Source organism: Homo sapiens, chromosome 3 (genome assembly GCF_000001405.40).
Source record: "Homo sapiens chromosome 3, GRCh38.p14 Primary Assembly".
Taxonomy (NCBI): Eukaryota; Metazoa; Chordata; class Mammalia; order Primates; family Hominidae; genus Homo; species Homo sapiens.
The window spans coordinates 189,716,679-189,740,561 of NC_000003.12; the positions used below are offsets into that span (position 1 = coordinate 189,716,679).

A 23,883-nucleotide genomic window follows, 5' to 3' on the forward strand; every position below is an offset into this window, starting at 1 on the left:
TTCCTCAGTTGCATTCTTTTTCCCCTTTGGCACTAGTCTATCTTATCTGAAATTTTTTCAGTTCATCTACTTCATGATAAGCACTTTTCTTCTCCTAGGAAGAGCTATCAGAATCTCTTAGTATCTTTTTTTTTTTTAGATGGAGTCTTGCTCTGTCTCACCCAGGCTGTAGTGCAGTGGCGCAATCTCGGCTCATTGCAGCCTCCACCTCTCAGCTTCAAGTGATTCTCCTGTCTCAGCCTCCCAAGTAGCTGGGACTACAGGCGATTGCCACCGCACCCAGCTAATTTTGTATTTTCAGTAGAGACTGGGTTTCACCATGTTGACCAGGCTGGTCTAGAACTCCCAACCTCAGGTGATCTGCCCGCCTTGGGCTCCCAAAGTGCTGGGATTACAGGAGTGAGTCACTGCACCCAGCCTCTTAGTAACTTTCTATCTAATTCACACTATCAATTGCAACAACTGAAATATCAACATACACGTATACGAACTAAACAAATATGTACACACACACACACACAGTGTTTGCTGTCCTAAAGCTGCTCCCATGTTTCAACATCTCTGAAATTAAAGAGTTATTATCACTATTTAATAACCTTTCCAACATGCAAACACATGCTTCATCTGGATCAATCACAGATAATTTCATAATAAATAATGTACTAAATATCATCTTCCACACTGATCAAGAGACCAGCTTGAGAGAGTGTGTCATGTAACTTTTGACAAACACAATAACTTTGAATAATAATTTGCTTATTAGCTAAGATTTGGGAAGCTGACTGCTTCCAGAAGCATCTGGATGGGATAAGAAATGAGAACAGCTATACTGTTTTCATATAGCTATACTGAATTTGAATTTCTTTAAACTCAATACACTAAAAATATGACCTCACAAGCCTGTAGGTCACAGATAAAATCTGAAATTAGGATTGTAGACATCCTGATTAAATGAAGTTGGTCTCATTAACCAAAAGTAATCATGCTTGTTCAGTCCCTAAGCTGCTTAATGCTTCTGCAAAATCTGGGAATTAGGCTTGAGGATATCTCTTCTGTGCTGCATAAGCCCTTTCCTTTAAAGCAGTTTTCTTTGTGTTCTTTTTTTCTTTTAGCTTGAAATTGGACCCAGCCTCCAAAAGTCAGTCTTTACCCTGAGCTTAGAAAGGGAAGACATAGAGTTAGTAGTAACAGGAAACATATTAAATGCAAGGGATAGAATTAAAGAATGTGTTAATGTGGAAAAATGAGAAACCTTGCTATATAATCCACTATTTCTGTCAGACTCCAAGAATCTAAAATGGAAAATTATTCAAGAAAGATAACAACATAAGAGAATGCGCTGATGGAGGAAGGTCTATATTGGAAAAACAAAAACAAATGCCAATCTTTACAGAGGGTAACCTACAAGGATATATCACAAGCATCTACAAGTGATGGATTTTGATTCCCAAGTGTGTGGAGAAAACTCCTAGGGACAACTTTGCAGTGACCAGAAAGCCATGATTGAATAAGGGGACACATGTTCCTGGGATAGGAGTGATCTTGTGTTTATTTTGGAAAGAATTATTTAAAGGGAAAAATAAACCTGATGTATTAGTTTGTTTTCACAGTGCTATAAAGGACTACCTGAGACTGGGAATTTACAAACAAAAGAGGTTTGATTGACTCAGACAGAGTTTCACAAGACTGGGAAGACCTCAGGAAACTGACAACCATGACAGAAGGCAAAGGGGAAGGAAGGCGTGTTTTGCAGGGTGGCACGATGGGGGAACTACCAAACACTTTTAAACCATCAGATCTTGTGAGCGGTCACTCACTGTCATGAGAATGGCATGGGGGAAACTGTCACCGTGATCCAATCACCTCCCATCAGATCCCTCCCCTGACATGTGAGGACAAGATTTGGGTGGGGAGAGAGAGCCAAACCATATCACCTGAAAATACTGCATAAATAACATTTAGCAGGCTAAGTGTAAAGACCTTTATCACATCATTTAGAAATTCAATGTTTCAATTGTTAAAGAAACATGTAAACATATAATATTGTTAAGTTAGCCAACTAATATAAGTGATTCAGTTTTCCTTGGGGGTAGAGAACCTATACATGTAAGATGGGATTGTCATTTTTGGGAAAGGTGGAAAAAGATGGAAATTACTTTTGAGCTTTACTTTGAATCATTTATCTAAAAAAACAAAAACAAAAAAACAATGTAGCCTATACTTTTGGAGAGGGGTATATTTAACAGAAATAAGAATATAAAGAATATGTGAAGAACATAAAGAATACTTCGGAATATGAATGTCTCTAGCTCTTTGTGAGGAGCTCTGACATCTCTCAGACATAACTGAATGAAAAAGCACAAATTTCTCGGTTGCCGTAATTGAAGTGTAGGGTAAGAGGAAAATAGCAGCAAGAACAAAACTCACAGATGCAGACAAGGACAAAAGCCATAGACGCACGAAGGAAAAACCTGCCCACAGAAAAACGGTGTTCTCGGTTTGGTAAAAGTGAGAGAACTTGTTCTTTGGGAAGCCAGGCAGCTCCTAGCAATCACAACTTTCTTTTGTACATACTCAGATCATTTATTTTAAAACGAATCGGTAGCCTTTTTTGAAAATACTCAAACTTGTCCTTAGTTATAAGCTTCCTAATCTGCGCTTGCAGAGTCCATGATGCTCAGTTGGCTCTCCTTGATTATGTGCCCATATTCACTCTTTCATATCTATTCTTTTTGCATCCGATGTATCAGAAATCTGTTTATTCCTCCAGATTTCTTTTGTAAAGTTCTACCTGACCAATCAACACATCTAGTCCCTCCATTTTATGGCATTATCATGCCATAAAATGTTATCTTCGAGTCTAGTCCAGCAAAGTTTTTCTGTAAAAAAATCAGATTGAATATTTTCAGCTTTGCAGGCCATGCGGTCTCTGTCACAGCTACTCAGCTCTGCCGTCGCAGGTTGAAAGCAGTCATAGACTACACCTAAACAAATGAGCATGGCTTAAACACGCTGCAAAAACAGATGAGAGTATGTGGGTAGCAGTTTGTAGATCCCTATTTCAGAGAGTCTTCTGTTTTTCTTGAGCCAGATCTCCTTCGTGAGCGCTTTTCTTTGGAATTATGCTCCTCTTTTTCTCTATGAACTTTAAAAAGCAAATTTCTTTCTTGAAATGTAGATAAAGCCTGGGTTTGTCCTCTAAGTACTGCATTTGAGAAGCATTGAACAATCACATAAACCTTAAAAGGATTTTTATTCATTTAATCTCATTTATTCTGTTTCTAAAAGGATATTAAAGAAGATCCAGTTAGTAATCTTCAGTAGCAGTTTTCACTGTTTACTCTTCTCTCCTGCCTTCACAAGCTACAATCTATTCATTTTTCCTCTGCCAAACCCTGTCTCAAATTCTTGCCCCCAGCAAGCTCGGCCCACAAGGTTTTCATTTTTTCCACGCCACCTCTGTCTCAGAGCTCTTTGTTTTGTAGGTAGACTAAAGCATCATTGCTAAATTTGTTCATCTGTCTTCTCCCTCCATCATTCTCAGATACAGAAATCAAAGAACCAGGCCAAGGAGGAAGAATCATTGAAGGGAAGATCAAAGCTTGTGAACACTCCTGATTTTAAATGTTTATCCTGTTAAATATTATTTTTATTATCATTATTGGCTTAAGTATATTTCATTTACTTGTGAAAAAACTTCTCATACATTGTACATAGAATGTTCTCATTAGACAAGGCCTTAAAGACCATCCTGTCTCCAATAACTTTAGATAGTGCATCTCTTCCATTAAAGAAGACTGAATCCCAGCACTTTGGGAGGCTGAGGCGGGCAGATCACCTGAGGTCAGGAGTTCAAGACCAGCCTGGTCAACATGGAGAAACCCCGTCTCTACGAAAAATACAAAATTAGCCGGGCGTGGTGGCACATGCCTGTAATCCCAGCTACTCAGGAGGCTGAGGCAGGATAATCACTTGAACCCAGGAGGTGAAGGTTGCAGTGAGCTGAGACTATGCCATTGCACTCCAGCCTGGGCAACAAGAGTGAAACTCCGTCTCAGAAAAAAAAAAAAAAAAAAAAAGAAGAAGACTGGAGGCTGGCAGGGAGCAGATAGGGAGATAGGGAGAGACTCTGCTACACATTCATTATCCAGCATCTCCTAACAGACTCAGCCATCTCACACTAAGAGACAGCAAACAAAGAGAAGGCTCCCAGCAGCCACATGGCAATCACACTGGAATTACCTTCTGTGCACCACTGGACAGCTGGAGGGGTGAGGCCAGAGGGCCTATTCGTAAACAAGTCTCTCCCAGTCATGTCCATAAAGGCATTTGCCTGTAGGAGGTGATTGGCTTCCGATGAAGTTGCTATAAGAGGACACTGACAGGGAAGATCTTTGCAGAGATTTAGAGGCCTGATCTGCAATTTAGGCAGAGAGTTTTTGGTGCAGTAGGAAGTTTGAAGAAGTCTTTGCAGCAGTAGTTATTGGTTTACAGTGGACCGTCTTTACCAGAAGTCGTGAATAGATTTTCTCAGATGAATTGCCTGTCATCAGCTGAATGTTGAAAGAACTAGGGCTACTTGTGTAACAGAGAGAGGAACAATAGGTTGTGGGCCTTCCAATAATAGAATAATAAAGTAGGAAGGATGCTTAGTGATTTTCTAGTATTTTCTAGTAATACAATAACCTTCTATTACACATGGGGGAAATGAAAACTAGAGAGAGAAAGGGATTCCCCCGTAGTTACCTGGCTAGTTAGGGCAGACAGTGAAAAATATATGGATCTATCAGGTGCTTTTTTTTTTTTCTCTGCATTGCCCGTTGTGATTGGAAATATTAACTGGGTGGCAAGACACAACAAGAATCCTTGGGTTGCTCTGCTGAAGTGGGCGGCAGGAAAGTATAATGATCCATCTTGCTTTGGAGGTTCAGCTAGAACTTTGTTTCATAAAGGGACTTCTTCAAACCACCTGGGAGGCTCTCGCTTGTTTCACATGCCCAGACTTACCTCCCTGGGCGTAAGGAGTATCCAGCTGCCCAGGTGATTTCGATTTGCTTATCCTCGCCACTTGAGACTCCTTAAGTCTAGACAGCAATGGTTCTGAACCTCACCAAGCATTACAATCTCTTGTGGAATTTCTAGACTTTTAAGTAATATTCCAGCTCAGATTTAAGTCTGGGAAATTCTGATTTAATTGAACTGGGGTAGTGCCCAGGCATCTGTATTTTAAGCATCCCAGATATTCTAATGTGTAGCCAGCTTTGAGAAATACAGGGCTAAAGGAAGCCTGAAGGTTTAAGCCTGGAATTAAACAACAGCAAGAAAGTAGAGAAGTAGGAAGGATGGATTGGAGAGATCTTACTGAGGATGAATTAGGTCAGAAGAATGTCATTGCTTAAGAGGAGAGTAGGAAAGGAGAGACAAGAAACTGGTGAGCCTTCCTAGGAGAGTAATGAGGTTCAAACAGGCTCAGGTGGAAGCTCTCTGGGGGCCAGATTAAACAAAGACAGCAGGGCTTGGAAAGAATTCCGTGAAGACGCTGATCTACCCTCTCTAGACTGAAGTATATGTGGTTTCCTCAGCATAAAGGAATGACAGAGGACAAATAACTCAGCAGGAAGTGTTTGGAATTGGCAGGTAAGGAAAAATAATAAGGGAGCAGCCTTAGAAGGATAAGCGCGTCTTTAGTGTCAGCAATCCTTGGGCTGTAGTTCATCTGATAACAAGGTCAAAAGTCTCCTGTAAAATGCACGATAGAATCTTTGGACCAGAGGGCCTTAGAGCTCAGGGGAATCAACCCCTTCACTTCACAGAGGAGGAACTTGAATCCCAAACAGGGGCAGGGACTTGCCCAAGATCCCAGCCAGTGAACGCATTGGGCCTGTAAGGCAGGGCTCTGAACTCTGTTCACTCCTAGGAGAGTCCGCACAGTGCACAGTGTGATAGTTAAGAACTACTCCAGGCGCAGAAAGCTCATGTACCTTCCCCAAAGTTATACACCTAGTAAACGTGGGTGTGTATAAAACACCAACTTTCTCATGTTTTGTTGGGAGGATTAAATATTCGTAAGGCACTTAGATCAATGCCCAGCATGCAGTATGTGTTATATTAATTATAATTATTACATCATACTATTTTGTTCAAGTATTAAAGTGACATCACAGTGAATAAGACTGAAATCTTGTCTATTTGAGGACAGATATTTAGAGAAAATGCAGACTTATTAAAGTGCTCTGTCTTTAATAAAACTCTAAACATTAGAATTTAGGTGAATACTGAAGCCATGTGTTTTCAAGTGCAGTTTGTTTAAAGTGCAGATTTGTAAGCCTCAGTCCAGATCATTTGAAACAGAATCTCTTGGAGGAAGGGACAAGGAACTGGCATTTTCCAGATGTACTCCCAAGTATTTCTGTTGAACTGTAAAGTGTGACACCTACCGCTCCTTACTGGGGAAGTGGAGTAACCTAAGGTAAAGAGTCAAGACCTTTTTTTCCTTCAGTGATATAGTTACTACTGGATTCTCCTTCTCACCATTACAGATATGGAAATTGAAGGTTAGAGAGGTTGCATAGCTCGCCCAAAGTTATTAACCTTGTGAATGACAGACTAGGGACTCTGAAGCCATATCCTTAGGAACCCAGAGTTACCATTCTCCCGGTTACCATGTGAGTTTGAGCATTTTTCTTATCTATTAAATGGGTTCATGTTGGTATCTAATTCAAGGGATGTTGTGAAAATTAAACAATGCCTGTCAGGCATATTGCAGATACTTTGCTCATGGAAACAATCAAATGATAGCTATCGATTCTCTTATTGATGTTAGCATTGTTACTTGTCCTTTTCAAATATTTTATTCAACAAACATTTGTTTGACACCCCCTCTGTGCCATATACTGTGCTAATCTGTGAACCCACAAAGGCCAGAAACTAAAATTTGGTTTTTCTCTCCATGAACCAACCAGTCAGGTAGGAACTGTAAATAAAGATCTGTACCATAGACAAAATGTAATTCTGATCAGAGAGGAACAAAATGTGCCCTGATGATTTAGTAAAAACAAAACTTATCTACCAGGTATCCTTAAGAAATACATTATTCTGGGTAGCTGAGTTTTCTATAATAGTTGAACATATACTTGTTAGATAGCATTTTATGTTTCTTTTTGTATTGGAAGATAGACATTTCTGAATATAATACATACTTACTTTTTAAGCCAAAAATAGTGTGCACCCTCAGGATTACCATGGGGAACTTTATTTTCTGGGTTGTGTTATCACACCAAAATCCTCAGGGGCTTTTGCAAGTACTTTTTTGTTTTTGTGCCTGGCTTTCATTTTTTTTTTTTTTTTTTTGTCTCATTGTTGCAAATATCCACTCCACTCCTCACAGAGGTCATTGCAATATACCAGAAAGAATAAAGACTTAGGAGTTATCCAACCTATATTTTTATACTAACCCTTTCAGGCTGTATAAATTAAGCCATTCATCCATTCAACAAATGTTTATGAATGCCCAGTTGTTATATTAGGAATTCTGTTATGTGTAGGGATGCGAGATATAAATGTATCTTCAAGGTTCTATAGTGTTAAAGTTTCCCTAATTGTTCATTACTTTTTTGTGGTATGTAATTTATATTATATTTAATTCTTAATAATGATTTATTTTCATAGGTTATTGGGGAACAGGTAGTGTTTGGTTACATAAGTAAGTTTTTTAGAGGTGATTTGTGAGATTCTGCTGCGCTCATCCCCCAAGTAGTATACACTGAACCCGATTTGTAGTCTTTTATCCCTCACCCTCTTCCCACCCTTTCCCCGGCTCCCCAAAGTCCATTGTGTCATTCTTCTGCCTTTGCATCCGCATGGCTTAGCTCCCACTTATGAGTGAGAACATATGCTGTTTGTTTTTCCATTCCTGGGTTACTTCACTTAGAATGACATTCTCTAATAATTTCTTTGCATCTCTACAGTGGAGCTGGGGCAATAACTAACAGAGATGTTTTGCAAGAGTGGAAGACAAATACAATTAAATGCACCTGGGATTCAAATCCCCTCCATCTCCTCTGTTCACATTCTGTATTCACAAGCATTATGGTTATGGAACACCTTCGTGCTGAGCACTGTTCCAGGCCTTGGGGGATGCATCCGGGAACGGGGCAATCAGCTCATGTTAAGCTTACATTCTTCAGGCAGTGGGGTGGATGGGGGTACGGGAGAGACTAACAATCAACATGTAAATATATAACACAGTCTCGGATAATTGATATTTAAAAAATATGGGGCAAGGATAAACCAGCAATCGATTTCTTTTTCTCCCTTACTTCTCACCATGATTTGCACAAATGTGTTGCTTAATAAATAAATCCTTATGATTTGTATCAGACTTTACTGCTAGATACTATTTTTTCAAGGTGTTATACCTCATTGTGAAAAAAAGTCTAAAGGTTGTGATTTATATAAACCACATTTCCTGTCTTTAGTCAATTTTGTGTATTTAATTTACTAAAAATGAAATTTACCAGGACAAATAATTAAAACAGACATAGTATATATAATTATTACTTTGAATGTTAAGGAATTAGGTAAACATGGTAATGTGAAGTTTATACACAAGACAGACCCTGTAAAGTCCACTTTCAAATAGGGTTAAAGCATAATCGACAGAAAATTTAAAAAATAAAACATAGGACTTATCGGGACTAGGAATATAAATATGTAAAAATTAATATATAAAAGGAAATTGTTCCTGAATGGCAAGATGACTAATTTTAAAGTTTAAAACTTCTATTTTTATGCCACCAAAACTTAATAATACGTATCCCGTTGTGATAAAGTACATTTTAAAGACTCTGATTTAAGCTATTTTACTACCAAGAGTTGGAACAAATAAAGTCAGGACAGGTGAAAATATATATTTCCTTCACTTTGAAGGGAACCACACGAGGGAATTTAGCAATATGGGGGCAGATGGTGGGGGAGGAAATCCTGCTTCGGAATGTGAGTGTGTGAATTCTCAGCTTTCTGCCATGGTTCTTTGTTACTACTGATTCTTCAGTGCAACACATACATAGCCAATACAAATGTAAAATTATTTTGCAGGCCGGGTGTGGTGGCTCACACCTGTAATCCCAGCACTTGGAGAGGCTGAGGTGGGCAGATCATGAGATCAGGAGCTGGAGATCAACCTGACCAACATGGTGAAACCCCATCTCTACTAAAAAATACAAAAATCAGCTGGGCGTGCTGGCACGCACCTGTAATCCCAGCTACTTGAGAGGCTGGGGCAGGAGAATTGCTTGAACCCAAGAGCCGGAGGTTGCAGTGAGCCGAGATCATGCCATTGCACTCCAGCCTAGGCAACAGAGCGAGAGTTTATTTTGGGTGGGGCGGGGGGGAATATTTTGTCATCATTGCTAGTGAATGTTTGGAATAAAACATGTACAGATTAGGCAAATTTATATTTAAGAAAAATCCATAAACACGTATCTTGTTCCTCCATATGAACGTCACTCGGTCTTACTCTCTGGGTGGGCCGATCGTCTTATCACTGAGTAGCGGCAGTCCAAAGAATGAGGCTCAACACCTTGGTCTGCTGCTATTGATGGAATATGTGATCTTGACAAGTATTTTAATGTTATTCAGCTGTAGAATATTGACAATAATATTCATTCTATGACATCGAACCATATGAACTTGGTAGCATTCCACCATTAACCTACAAAACAGGAAGTTCCTAAGGTTCAATATGATACATAATTCATCATATGACTATCAAATGGAGTATGTGTGAAAGTGATTTTGTACTGAAGTATTCCAGGTTTGAATCATTATGTAGCAATAGACTATTGAATCATATCTTTGTGATATATCATGCTTTATGAATTGGGTCACCATCCCATATTTAAAGTGCTAAAATATTAATGAGGATGGTAAGAAAAATACATGAACAGTTACAATAAAAAAAATCAGGTGTGAACCGAGGATCCTGCCTCATTGGTCCAGGGTCACTTCTTATTTCCAGGTCCACATCTGATTGCTTGTAATTCCCTGGGATGACAAATATTAGCCCAGTGATCTCCCACCTTTATTTTGTACTCCACATATAATGGTCCAAGAGAAAGTTTCTACAACTTCACAAGTATTAACTCAAACTGCAATTTATTTTAAAATCTTTAAAGGTCTTTTATGTACATCAGGTGTTAGCAAACTTTTTCTACACAGGGCCAGAAAATATTTTTGACTTTGCAGGTCACATGGTTGCTATTGCAACTCCTGAATTCTGCTGTTGTAGCTCAAAAGCAGCCATATACCAACACCTAAATAAATATGGCAGTGTCCTTAAAGACTTTACCTAGAAAAACAGGTGGTGGGATAGATTTTGCCTGTGAGTAGTAGTTTGTCAACACCTAATCCAGATGAAAGATTATGGTGCAGATTCTTCACTAAGCTTTCAGCTATGGGACTTGGATTAGGAAAGTGGATTAAGGTCTATAAAATCTTTGAAAATCAAACCCAATCACTTACATGTATGTCAGTATGTATACTTCATTTTTACTTTTTTTTGTTTATTGTGTAAGATTGTTCAGAACTGTCATCAGATTCCCATAATAGATTCTATAATTGAGAAAAGGTTGAAGGCCACTGCAATTGGATTATTTTCTGCATGAATCAGACCAGTATCTGGAGGTTTTAGGGCAGTAAACCTTTCCTCAATTTTTAAATCACTCATTCAGCAATCTGAGTTGTCTGACAAAGAGTGAGCAGCCTTATGTGGTACAGATGCTCGGCTGAGGTTGCAAGATCACTGTTAATAAGTTAAGAGTTTGGACTAGATGACTTAAGGTACTTCCAACCATTAGGCCTTATAATTTTTTCCAAGAAGTTCTACTTTTTCTTTTTCCATATTTTCTTTTCTTTTTTGTCTAAATTCAATTTATCACATTCTTTAAACCTAAGAAACCTCCTCTACAGGTTTCTATTTCCCCATAGTCCTTCCTGAGCTCCATTTTCATGTATCTGGGTCGTGGATGTTACATGCATTTTTCTTCAAGTGTTCACAGTTGTGTAAAACCCTAATGTATTCCAAACCTGATGTCATGGTGATTACACTTATTCAAATGTCTCCTAAATTCTAATTTGGGGGCAGTTTGTCAAAAAGTACCCTGTTTGTAAGCATGCATGTTACTGTGTTTGCATGCTATAATGCTAAAATGACATTTTAAACAAGATACTCAAGTATTCCTTATCTTTGTCTTCTACCAAATGCCAGATTCTAGACTGAAATGGCTCGGAATATTAACTGATGAATTTAGTATAGTAGAGCGAAGTTTGAGAACATGTTTTATGTTTGTGGAGTTAGTACAGTTTGCAAAAGTGTTGACTGTACACTTTATGTCTGAAGAGCTTTGCCTAAGGATCCAGGATGGCTAGGCTCCAGAACTAGATACTTGTGGACTTCCTGTGGGATATGAGTAAAATCCCTATGAGTTTCGTTTATAAAAAAAAAAAAAAGGAGTAGAGATGATGAGAAATAAAGCCCTTTCTAGTTTTTCCCTTCTACGGATCTGTCCAAAAAATAAAAAACAAGGAAAATAATGTTTTTTAAGTGTCAGTATCTTATTAGTTGAGGCAACAGACCTACATACACAAAATGGAAATGCCATTTCAATGTGGGTAAATTTGTGGGTAAATTATGATAGAATGAACTAAGGACAAGAATACTTAAAGCATGCCAGGTTGAGGGTGTGAACCCAAACAAGATATATAAATATTGTATCCTTTCTAGGTGAGCTCAGTGTTGGCAAATGCAAAGAATATGACTTGGGGGAAGATGGTGGATTATGTAAAAGGTCAATCTGTAAGGGCTCAAGGATGAAAACAACCTGTAGGATACAGCTGATGTAATAGTTTGCTTTCATGCTGCTATGAAGAGATACCTGAGACTGGGTAATTTATAAAGACAAGAGATTTAATACACTCACAGTTGTGCATGGCTGGGGGAGGCCTCAGGAAACTTACAAAATGGCAGAAGGCACCTCTTCACAGGGTGGCAGAAGACAGAATGAGTGGAAGCAGGGAAATGCCAGATACTTATAAAACCATCAGATCTCATGAGACTCACGCATTTTCAGGAGAACAGCACAGGTGGCGGAGAACCTCCCCCATGATCCAATTACTTCCTCCTGGTCCTGCCCTTGACACATGGGGATTATTACAATTCAAGGTGAGATTTGTGTGGGGATACAGAGCCAAACCATATCAGCTAGCTAAACAATTTGTAAGGAGGGTTTGCTCAAAAGAATGAGAGACAAAGGTGATTAGATTTTTGTCAAGGATGCAGGGTTAATGACTGTAAATTCTCTGTCACAAAAGGAGTAACCTAATGAAAATTCTGCTTTTGAAGGCTGATCATTACATAGTCCTTTAAGTTAGAAAATGCTGACTAATGAAAAAGGCAAGAGGTTTAGTGGGATGGGGAGCATGAGTGAAGGGCATTGTATTCAGAGAAATCATTACCTTTAAGGAAGAAATTGGTTAGGATAAAGAATGGGCCACAAAACATAAGACGTCAGAGAATTTCATAATTGAGAGAGAAAAAGGACACTCCCTCAGAATTAATGACTGCCAAGTTTGGGCTAAATATGTAGAACTTTAATGGGAGAAATTCGCGGTTGGACTGCACAGTAAAAGGTCATGGAAGAAGCAAGCCGTGAAGCTGTGGGCAATCAGATCTTAAGACAGGTCATGGTCAGTCAGGAGAGAAAAGATTTCTGAAGATGAAAAGAAGCCAGTAACTAGGAGAAATGAGTGTTGAAATATGCAAAATAGAGTTTTTTAAGAATATTGGTTCAGTAATATATAAAAATAAATTCCTTGATAAGAATTTTTGTTCAAATTGTGGCAAATTGAGATATTAAGGCATACACAATGCTCTAAATGAATTTTATTTTTTGAAGTTGTGTTTTCTGAGAGTTAAGCTGACATGGATTTGAGTTGGGATGAGTAGAGAGATAAGGAACTTCATATTTTTCCATTTGAGGTTGAAAAGGAAAGATTTCCATCTAAGGAAAAAAAAAGATGCTAATGGGCTTAATTTAGAGTTTGCAAGTGAGTTTTGGAGGCAAATTTATCTCAAGTTTATGAATAAATTTAGTCCTCCAGGGTCCTTGGGCACTGTTAGGTACAATAAAAAGGCAATACACTAAAAGGCATCAAGGTATTCTTTGGCATCCTCAAAACTAAGTATGATGATTAATGATGGAATAGTTATAGTAATGGCAGGGTAAATTCTAAGTATTGGAATGTTTTCTGAACTAAAAATGTAAAAGGAATTGTGTGGTCAGGAATGCTTCTGAAGCTAACCCGAAGACTCATTTTGCAAAAGATCTAGGGAGGTGGATAATGAAGGCTTAAGCAATAATTGGATGGATTGATAAATTGGATGGATGGATAGGTGGAAGAAGTCATGTTTAGAGTTTTGAATCACTTTTATCTAAGGGTTGAGGATACTTCCAGAGTCTTTGAGGGCTCAAGTTTCCTTGAGCAATAGTAATCCTAACTGTCTTTTCTTATATTACCTTTGAGAGTCAGTTCCTTCTGGCAACATTGAGAATCTGCAGAAGGGCAAGCATTCTGTAAATATCATTCACCTATCATTACCCATTTTCTTATGCCAATTTTCTGGTCATATCGTGGAAAAAGGCTGACTATTTTGATGAGACAGAATTAGTAAAATATTTAGTTATTTCATAGAAAAAAGAAATATTCCTCTTAACTATGAAAACTTCATATTGCCCAAGTTTTGTGGTGAATGAAAATAAGGAGCCACATATGTAATTTAGCAAAGCACGAATTTGAAACAATATAAATTTAAATCTCAGATTTATTACCAACACCTGAGTAACAACTTCCCTATCCTTGCTGAACGTAAAGATCATCATGTATAAATGCTGACATTTTGTGAGGTCCTCAAAGGTTTATACCTATTTGTGATCCCATCCTCCCAATGAGGATATCCCAGTTTGATCACAGTTGGTGAGGAGGAGGTCCCTCCAGGCCTGCTCTATTGGAGATTTCTCCTGCAACATTCTCTCTTACAACTGCTGACACCCTGTCAAGGAGGCCTTTGAGCCAGGAGATCTAGTAGCATCAATGAGCTTCTGGTCTGCATCACTACTAAGTGCTATTTTATTTTGTTAAATGAGTTTATATTGATGTTTCTATACAATCAAGTCTATTTGTAGTTTTATAGCTTTAAGTTTGCATGCTCCAATGGGGAGTAAGTGTGGAAACTGTTAAAAGAAGTCAAGGGTTAGACAATTCATGACAAGAATTTGTTTCTGATGCACAATTTTTTTTCTTATTGGACTATAGATAAAGACTTAGCACCAGGCGCTCTGGCTCACGCCTGTAATCCCAGCGCTCTGGGAAGCTGAGGCAGGTGGACCACCTGAGGTCAGGAGTTTTGAGACCAGCCTGGCCAACATGGTGAAACCCCATCTCTACGAAAAATACAAAAATTAGCCGAGCACAGTGGTGCATGCCTGTAATCCCAGCTGCTCAGGAGGCTGAGGCAGGAGAATCGCTTGAACCCAGGAGGCAGAGGTTGCAGTGAACCAAGATGGTGCCACAAGACTCCAGGCTGAGCAAGAGAGAAAGCCTTCATCTCAAAAAAAAAGAAAAAAAAAGAACACTTAGGTTTTCATGAAATATATCTGGTGTGAACCAGTGAACCAGTTCTTCTTAGATTTCAGCTTTTCTGTCTGTTAAATTAGAAAAACTAAGCTAGACGACCTCTCAGGTCTATTATTTCTAAAACCCATCTATGCAGCTAAGGTTGTTTGGAATCTGAAATTTTAGAGATGTGGAGATTTTCAAGCACACTGACAGAAAATAAAGGTGCAACAGACTAAAATGACAACATTTAGGGAAGAACAGGCAAAGCAAGAGGGAGTGCAGACCATTGGCAGAAACCTCTTGATGTTTTCAGTTCACTTCTGTAAAGTTCTTTCTTCCTGAATTAATGCAGAGTGTAAGACAGTTAATCCAAGAAAAACAACTTGAAAAGAAAAAAAAAATTGACTTCGGGCTTTCTATCTTTAGGTGTGACTGACTTGACAAAAACCTTTGAACAGAATGATTGTTCTATGAGTAAATTGATACTGAGAGTCACCCAAAGGTAAAGACTTGGAAGATAGGTAGGATTTGCTTCACTCTTCTTGCCCTATGGCACCAGCTAATCTTTTTCCTCTTTTTCTCTCAATAATGTTTCAACATATTTATCTATAAAATGGAAATTAATACTGAGCATGAAAAGAAAAGGCCATGAAAATCCCCTAACATAGACCGTTAATTTTTCTTTCCTTTTTATTTTTAAGAAACAGACACTTTCTTTAACTGGACTTTTGTTCAGAACCCTAATATACCTTAGACAAGAAAAAGCTGAACTTCATGGTGTTAAGGAGGTGTGTATCAAGTCCCACCGACAATGGCTGTTTCTTTACCTCTGGTGAACACACTGAGTCACCAGGAAACTGAGGATATCTGGAAACACAAGCTGAAAATGACTGATCTATTCCAACTCCCCTCCACCACCCCTGTCTTTTGTAATAAAGCCCCCTTGAAGCCCTGAGAGGAGTAAAGTTGCCTCATTTAATGTAGCCAGTCTAAGACAAAAATGATCTAGAAGAAAATGAGTGGTGATGAGGGTATTGTTTTGACCCAAGGTTACAGATGGAAGGGAGGGATAGGTTTCATATAATTACTTTATTTTTATGTGACACTTTAAAAACTCAAACAGACCATTCAAACACACTATCTAATCAGTTTAATTCAGCAAGTATGTCCTGGATGCAAACGATGTAGCGCGTTTTGTGGTAGAACCAATGCATTGACTACCAGGCGCTGTATGACAATTATGTTGCACATTTAAAGAAAGCCTCTCAACCACCTTCTGAGGGAAGCATAGTTGAAGAAACTAAGGTTCAAAGGCATTGAGTAACTTGGCCATGGCCTCAAAGCATGTCATTAGCAGAACTGAGATTGAACCTAGGTCAGCCCCATTCCAAAACTTGCAATTCTTCAACTCTATCCTCAAGGAGCTGTAAAACCACAAGAAATACAGAGCTGAGAGAGAGATGTTTCACCCACAAATTACCTAAAATCCTCTGCAGCAGGTTAATTGTTGAACAAGCAAAGTAGGACAGAGTAGCATTGATGAGATGAAATAAAAGAACAAAATTCAAAGGAGAAAAATTATACTTAAATTAGGAACTAGGAAGTACTAAGTAAGGAAGAGAGCACTGAGGGTTGGGTAGGCATGGGAAAGGCAGTGGGGTGGAGATCCTGGTCTCCATGCTGTCACGTGCAAGGAAGCTGAAGTTTGAGGAGTCTGGAGGCTTGTTCAAGTTTTCACAGCTGATTATGGTGACATTAGAAATACAGGGAAATGACTTTTAGGAGTAAGAACCTAGGGATAAAAGCAAAACAAAAAAAATAACAAAGTAATTACAGACAGGAACCAGAACTTACTATGTGGAAATAAGGGAAATTATAGAAATAGATGATGAGTATGGAACCAGTGCTGTTTTTCTCTCTTCTGCCTTAGAGATGATGTCTTCCTTCTATGTAACACTCTTTTCTGAATCTGCCTTGGTCTTTATTATTGAAGATGTTGGTCACATTATCTATCAGTCTCTTTAGAAACTAAATCTACATTTCTGCCAACTTAAAAACTCATACTTTTTCGAATCTCACACACTAATATCATTATTGTTGAGAGCCTATTTGTGTGGTGATGTTTACCTTCTAGTGCTCACCTGGCTTTCGAGCTATCAGGCATCCCGTTTGGATCTTTGGATGTTGGGGATGTCCTTATGGGTCCGTGTATATGACCACTCATATGGGAGTTTATCTGCATTTTGGTTTTGGAATAATTCATGCCTTTGTTCATTTCTGTTTTTGACATTTGCTATGATTGCATTTACTTTTATTTTTTCCTATATTTCAGTTTTATCTGAAGACAAATTTTAGTGTAAATCAAACATATTCAAAAGTGTCATCTTGAGAGTATTTATAAGTTTCACTTCAACGTTAAATCTATCAACTTTTACTTCTTCTCTACTTACTATTTGGCAGTAAATAAACCAAGTCAGCCACAATCTCAAAAGAGAAGTGAAGAAAATTAATATACCCTTTTAATTTAAAGATACAGGATTATCAGATGGTCTTCTAATTATAGGGACCTCCTTAATTCTCATACCCCACTCTCCCATTTCTACCAATTTAACTTTGTTAATTCCTTCCCTATATAACTCTGTTTTGACCTCATAGAGACATAGTTTTCTTCCTTTCTTTCTTTTCTTTCTTTTTCTTTCTCTCTTTCTTTTTCTTTCTTTTCTTTCTTTCTCTCTTTCTTTACTTTCTCTTTCTTTCTCTCTCTCTCTTTCTCTCTTTCCCTCCCTCCCTCCCTCCGTCCCTCCCTCCCTCCCTCCCTTCTTTTTTTTTTTTTTTTTGAGACAGAATTTCACTCTTGTCGCCCAGGCTGGCATGCAGTGGCTCAATCTTGGCACACTGCCACCTCTGCCTCTTGGGTTCAAGCGATTCTCCTGCCTCAGCCTCTCGAATAGCTGGGATTACAGGCACCGGCCGCCAAGCCCAGCTAATTTTTGTATTTTTGGAAGAGACAGGGTTTCCTTGCCCTGGACCCTCTTCCTGCCCTCTCCAGTCTGAATCCAAAGCTAGTCTTTACAATTCCCTTAATTCTCTGATGTAACCTATTCAGTGAAACAACAGTAGTATTGTTTTTATCTATTTTGTTTGTTCCCTTCCCCAGTGGTATAAGCTGGAGATAATCACTTAACTGTGTAGGTTGGGAGATGACAAATTCATGTTTTCTAAACTGATTCACATTTCTAAACCCTCACCCTTTTTTCCCAGATAGTCACTTAATGTCTGACCCACTCAATTTTCAGCAGATGGCCTTGTCTTCCTCCTGCTTCATCAAGAAAATCGAAGTCATCAGCCTTGACTTCTATTTATCTTCTATGAAAACCTTTATATCTGTACTTAATTTTGCCATCTACTTCATCCTAGAGTGAGGGATTAAGGGGTTTTAGTTCAAGACAGTCCTCTCTACCTATGCCTTGACCTTTTCCAACCTGCCTATTCCAGGATTTCTTACCATGCCATTCCCTTTCTTTCCAGGATCTTGAAATTTTCTCTCTCCACACTAGCTCCTTCCTCTTTAGGCATAATTCAGGTTCTTCTAATCCAATTGTATCCAAAAAAACATTTCTTTTGCACACCCCCATTTACTCCTCAAAACACTAAAATATTTTGAGGGTGTCATTAATCTACAGAAGGTTCTAATGTCAAGGTTGCGAATGACCTCCTTATGTCAAATCTAGTAGGTATTTTTGAGGTCTTATCTTCCTAGATCCCATTGCCATTGAGTACTGTTGATTACTTTTCATTTTGTTTTTACCTTGGCTTCTAAAATACCATAAACTTCTCAGGGTCTGTTAGTTCTCAGGTTTTCTAAGTGGAGCCCCACGTGCCTTTTCTCATTGCACCTATTCTGCACAGGTCGTTTTATCCACGCTCACAGATTCATTTTTCCCCTATGAGGAAGATTTCTGTTTCTAAACTTTTGGTCTATTTTTCTTCCTAGAGTTTAAGGCTTATTTAAGTTGGTTTCACTTTTTTCATATCCCTAGGTACTTAAAACTCAGCATGCTAAAATGCAGTTTATCATCTCTCTTTCTTCAAGCCAGATCCTCCAACTATACTTACTGATGTAGTTAGTGGAATCATCAACCACACGGTTCAATCAAGCTGGAAACTTAAAGTCATCTTTCACTCTTCATTCTCCCTTCATTAGTAACACAACCAATATCTGATTTAGCCTTTTTACTAATAATTGACTTTGTCCCTATCATCTCCATTCCCATTGATTTTGCCCTTTTGTTGTCTTACCTTAACTGATGCAGGAACATTCTAAATAGCCGCTTTACCCATAAACTGACATGCTGTAAATTCTTCCATCACACAACTTCCAGATTTACCAATATAAAGCATAGTCTGACTGTGTCTGTCTCATGAATACTGACTGTGGTGATAGATACACTACTCCACACGTGTGATAAAATTGTATAAAATGAAATACACACACATATATATATACCCACATTCGAATAAGTACAATAGAACTGAGGATTTATGGGTCAGGTCACTGGATTTTATCAATGTCACTATCCCAGTTTTGATATTATATGGTAGTTTTACAAGATGTTGCTATCAAGGGAACTGGGTAAAGGGTACATGGGATCTCTCTGTATTATTCATTACAACTGCATGTAAATCTACAATTTCCTCAATTTAAAATTTATTTAAAATATTTTGAGATATATATTATTTAAAATATACATATCATTTATGAATATTTTAAATGATATATATTTATATCATTTAAATATATAAATATATCTATATTATTTAATATATTTTGATATATGTAAATATACACACACACTCTTTCTCTGTCTCTCTCACCATAAGTACAGACATAGGCTTTTTAAAAACATAGCATATAAGTTTCTTCTTACCTCTCTGGCTTAATCTCCCAGCATTCTCTGCCCCAAATTTTTCAAAATATTAACACAGAGATGCTTGTGATTTTCTCACACATACCAGGCTATTTTCCATTATAGTGTTTTGTTTATGCTGTTGTCATAGAGTGCCCACTGTGTACCATTAGCTCTTACCTGACCTTCCTAATTTTCATCAGCAAAGGCTCTTTCCTTGATTCTTCAAATAAAATTACATTGTTCATCTTTGTGTTTTCGTAGTGCTGTCTATACTGCTAACACATTTACTGTAGGTTTGTTTTCCTGTCTTTCCTTCTATACCATCAATTCCTAGAAGATGAGACAGTATTATACACTTTTTATTTCCAGTTTCCATTATGCTTCCTGGCAAATAAGTCCTCTATGCATGTTTAACTTGAGCAAATGAATGTGCTATTGCAGGTAGCTTGGAAATCAGCATTCATAAATCTAATAGTATTATCTTCTACTGTATTACTAGACCAGAACACATATTTGAAATTTTAAGAAGATGATTGACTATCCTCATACAGTATTTTTCTAATTCTTTATAACAGGAACAGTAACACTTAAGAACTTAACTAATTTTATCCTGGGATAAAATTAGTCTACTGATTATCACAACAAATCACATATTAAGATGATCTGCCCGGATAATATTTAGACTTGGAGAACGCATCATCTGAGAAAGCTGATGTTTTCCTCCAAATATATAGGAATAAATGTTTGGAAAAAATAAGTAAAGCAAACTTCAGGGCTCAGCAGCAAAATGAAGCAAACAGAAATAGGATTCATTTGCAAAGTGTTCAGATGTTTGCTTATTATTAAGTCTAACATGCAATTCTACACTTTAATTAAGAACCACCCACACATCAAGGTAAGCAACTGGCAATAAAAAATTAAAAAATATTAGGTCCACAGGTTTGAGTTTATTGTCCCTGAGTGTGATTCTAAGATTGCGGTTATGGGAGGGATGACTAATCTGAGGAAAAAATTTAAATTTTCTGAGTTCATTTCTGTTTCCTGGTTCTATTTCTTACATGCTGGTGGCAGAATGGGCAGATAATCAGTTGAGACTATTATAAAATGGGTTTAATGATAGGTCAGGCTTGCTATCAAATTTAATGAGGAAATGTTTATTTTCTTTTCAAAATCTACAGAACACAGATGTCGGATAGTGGAGGTATAGAGCATAATAATATTATTAGTTAGGAAAGGAGAGCTTTGATAGAAGACAAGATTGTCTAGCATTGGAGGTCTGCCTCACTTTGTGGCAAAATTGGATTCATTACACTACCTGAAGAAATGCCAATTGTGCAACTTGTAACATGTGCTACATATATACCTGCATGGTTTTATAGATTCACTTGATGTTTTCATGATAGAGTATGCTTTAATTTAAATATTCAGTGTCATAAATACAGAAAGTATAATACTAGTTTCATTTTTGTCCTTTTAAGTTTCGTAGAAACCCCAGCTCATTTCTCTTGGAAAGAAAGTTATTACCGATCCACCATGTCCCAGAGCACACAGACAAATGAATTCCTCAGTCCAGAGGTTTTCCAGCATATCTGGGATTTTCTGGAACAGTAAGTATAAAACAAGCAAGAAATGTTTTGCTTGAGCTAAATAGGTAAATGTGGGTGGTCAAAATATTGCTTACTAGGGCATGTTTTTTCTAGAATCAGTAGAAGTTATTTAGGAAAAGTTAATGACTCCAATGCCATCTCTTTGTTCAAATTCAGTGGTGATTTTTTTCCATTTCTAACACCAAAAGATCCTTGCTAATCCAAGGTGATGTAATTTTGGAGGGCCTAAGGCCTCCTGCACCAAATTCACTTCCCCAATGTTTCTCTGATACTCAGAATCCATTCCTTTGGCTTGAAGACTTATCTACTTTTATAATGCAGGTACTCACTGAGAAGATAAAACACTAAATTTTGTTGTTTATTTATACCTTGCTGTGAAACGTATTATTATTTCTTTATTAAAACAGGTTTGGATAAGTGAGTAAATTAAGAAAAGGTGAAAAGAGAATTTCAGCACACTGGAGACCCTTAGGAATCGAGTATAAAATACTCTATCACAGATACATCCGTTATTTCCTGCATCCTACCCAGTAATTATCTGAGGAGGGCAGAGGTCATGATCCTCATTTAACAAGTGGGGGTTGGATTTGAACTGCTTGAAATTACACATTTGATAAGTGATTGAGCCAGGACTCAAACCTAGAGTTTCTAACTCCAAGAAACCAATGAGCCTTGCTGACTTTGAAGCAGAAAATGCTTGTTGTTAACAACAGCATGAGTATATTTTAGTCCCTTTCCATGCCTAACTCACTTTTTTCTTTCCTATGTGTTAGGCCTATATGTTCAGTTCAGCCCATTGACTTGAACTTTGTGGATGAACCATCAGAAGATGGTGCGACAAACAAGATTGAGATTAGCATGGACTGTATCCGCATGCAGGACTCGGACCTGAGTGACCCCATGTGGGTGAGTGGCACAGGCTTTCTCTTCAGTCTTTGGGCCATGCTATCTATAGCTCTGTTAAACCTGTCTTTTCAGTCATGTGTGAAAAGGCAGGTGGCTCTGAATGGCCAAGGCCTTTGGGAAGAGAGTCTATGTTGTTAGCTGAGAGAAGATTTGGTGTGGATTATGCATTCTGGGTCTGCCGCAAATATCTATAATATATGTGTTTCCATCCGTGTGGGGAGGGAGATTCTTTACATCTTTTATCTTGATTGTTCCTCATGTCAACCCCAATTTAGAAAAGATGGTACCAGCTCAAGGCTTTCTAGCTGGTAGGGACAGCAAAAGAATCAGAAATTTATTTTATTTATATATTTATTTATTTGACAGAATCTTACTCTGTCACCCAGGCTGGAGTGCAGTGGCAGGATCTCAGCTCATTGCAACCTCTGCTTCCCTGATTCAAGTGATTTTGCTGACTCAGTCTCCCAATTAGCTGGGATTACAGACATGCACCACCACACCTGGCTAATTTTTGTATTTTTAGGAGAGGCAGGGTTTCGCCATGTTGGCCAAGCTGGTCTCGAACTCTTGCCTTCCTGTGATCTGCCCACCTCAGCCTCCCAAAGTGCTGGGATTACAGGTGTGAGCCACTGTGGCTGGCAAAGAATCAGATTTTTAGATCTGAATCCTATCCAGGGCACTTCCTACTATGACAAACAACTTCTCTATCCTTCTTTAATGCAGGAGGAATTTATGCACATGAATTCTATGTGCATATGCAGGTTTAAGTACCTGGTAACAGAATAAGAGGGAGGAAAAAAACTAATACATGAAACAGGCTTTTCTTGGCTATACCACTGAGTCACTCGTGATCTTAGGCCCCAGTTCCTCATTTATAAAGTGGTGAGATCATAGGTGTTACATACTTCCCAGGTAAGCTAAGGAGTTTAATGGGTTAATGATATTAAAACACCTTCCTGAGATGTTTAGATTTCCTGTGTTTGTGCAGTTTCATAATGCTGGTGGGTTTTCTTTTTTTTTTTTTTTTAATCATTTATTTACGGCACAAGTCCTGCTATCTTTTCTATCAAAAATTTCTAGAAAACTAGTGGGGGGAAGCTAGACAGCGGGGTGTCATAGAGTATCTGTTGACGAGATTAAGGGGAATGATTTTAAAATGCCTTACCTTGTTTGATATGTTTTACTGGAATTTTTGCTATGTACTTTTTGGATATAGAATGTACTGCTTAATATTGGGAGAAAGTCAATGGGAGAAAGTCAATTGGAGAAAGGCAAGAGGAAACAAAAACAGAAAGTTATAACTCTGCAGATACATAGATGCTTTGTCACTAATTTGATTAGAGAAAAATACACTTTTTCATTGACTCTTTTCATTCCAATACAGATATAGTTCTCAATCCTTGAGCCAATGAAATGAAACTATCAAATAATTCCAAGGGGCAGGTCATTCAAGGCCTTGGACTATATCATAATTCAACATAAATATGTGTAAACTCTGATTTGACAGTTACTTAAAAATTAGGACATTCCCAATTTTCATAAAAATATCATCTCTTAAGTTGATGGATAGGATCTGCCTAGGAAAACCTGTTATTGTATTCTCTCCAGGGATTTTCTGTTCTCAGTCTTGGACTCATAAAAGTTGGCAAAAAGTTAAAGAAGTTAAAAAATGAAGAATTTTCTCTTACACACTGAAGCACGTAGTTTTTTATTGTTGTTTGTTTTTTGATTTTTGTTTTTTTATGAGCAGGGTCTCCCTCTGTCGCCCAGGTTGGAGTGCAGTGGCG

General features: G+C 38.0%; 1 protein-coding gene across 6 annotated transcripts in view; it reads left to right on the forward strand.

Annotated features, from left to right (window-relative positions):
* The window catches only part of TP63 (tumor protein p63), a 300,531-nt gene that overhangs the window by 119,933 nt on the left and 156,715 nt on the right, over window positions 1–23,883 (forward strand). For all 6 annotated transcript variants that reach the window (NM_001329964.2, NM_003722.5, NM_001114978.2 and 3 more), the window contains exons 2-3: window positions 21,062–21,190; window positions 21,964–22,096. In NM_001329964.2, the coding sequence (NP_001316893.1) occupies window positions 21,062–21,190; window positions 21,964–22,096 (262 nt within the window). The remainder of the gene's footprint in view (window positions 1–21,061; window positions 21,191–21,963; window positions 22,097–23,883) is intronic.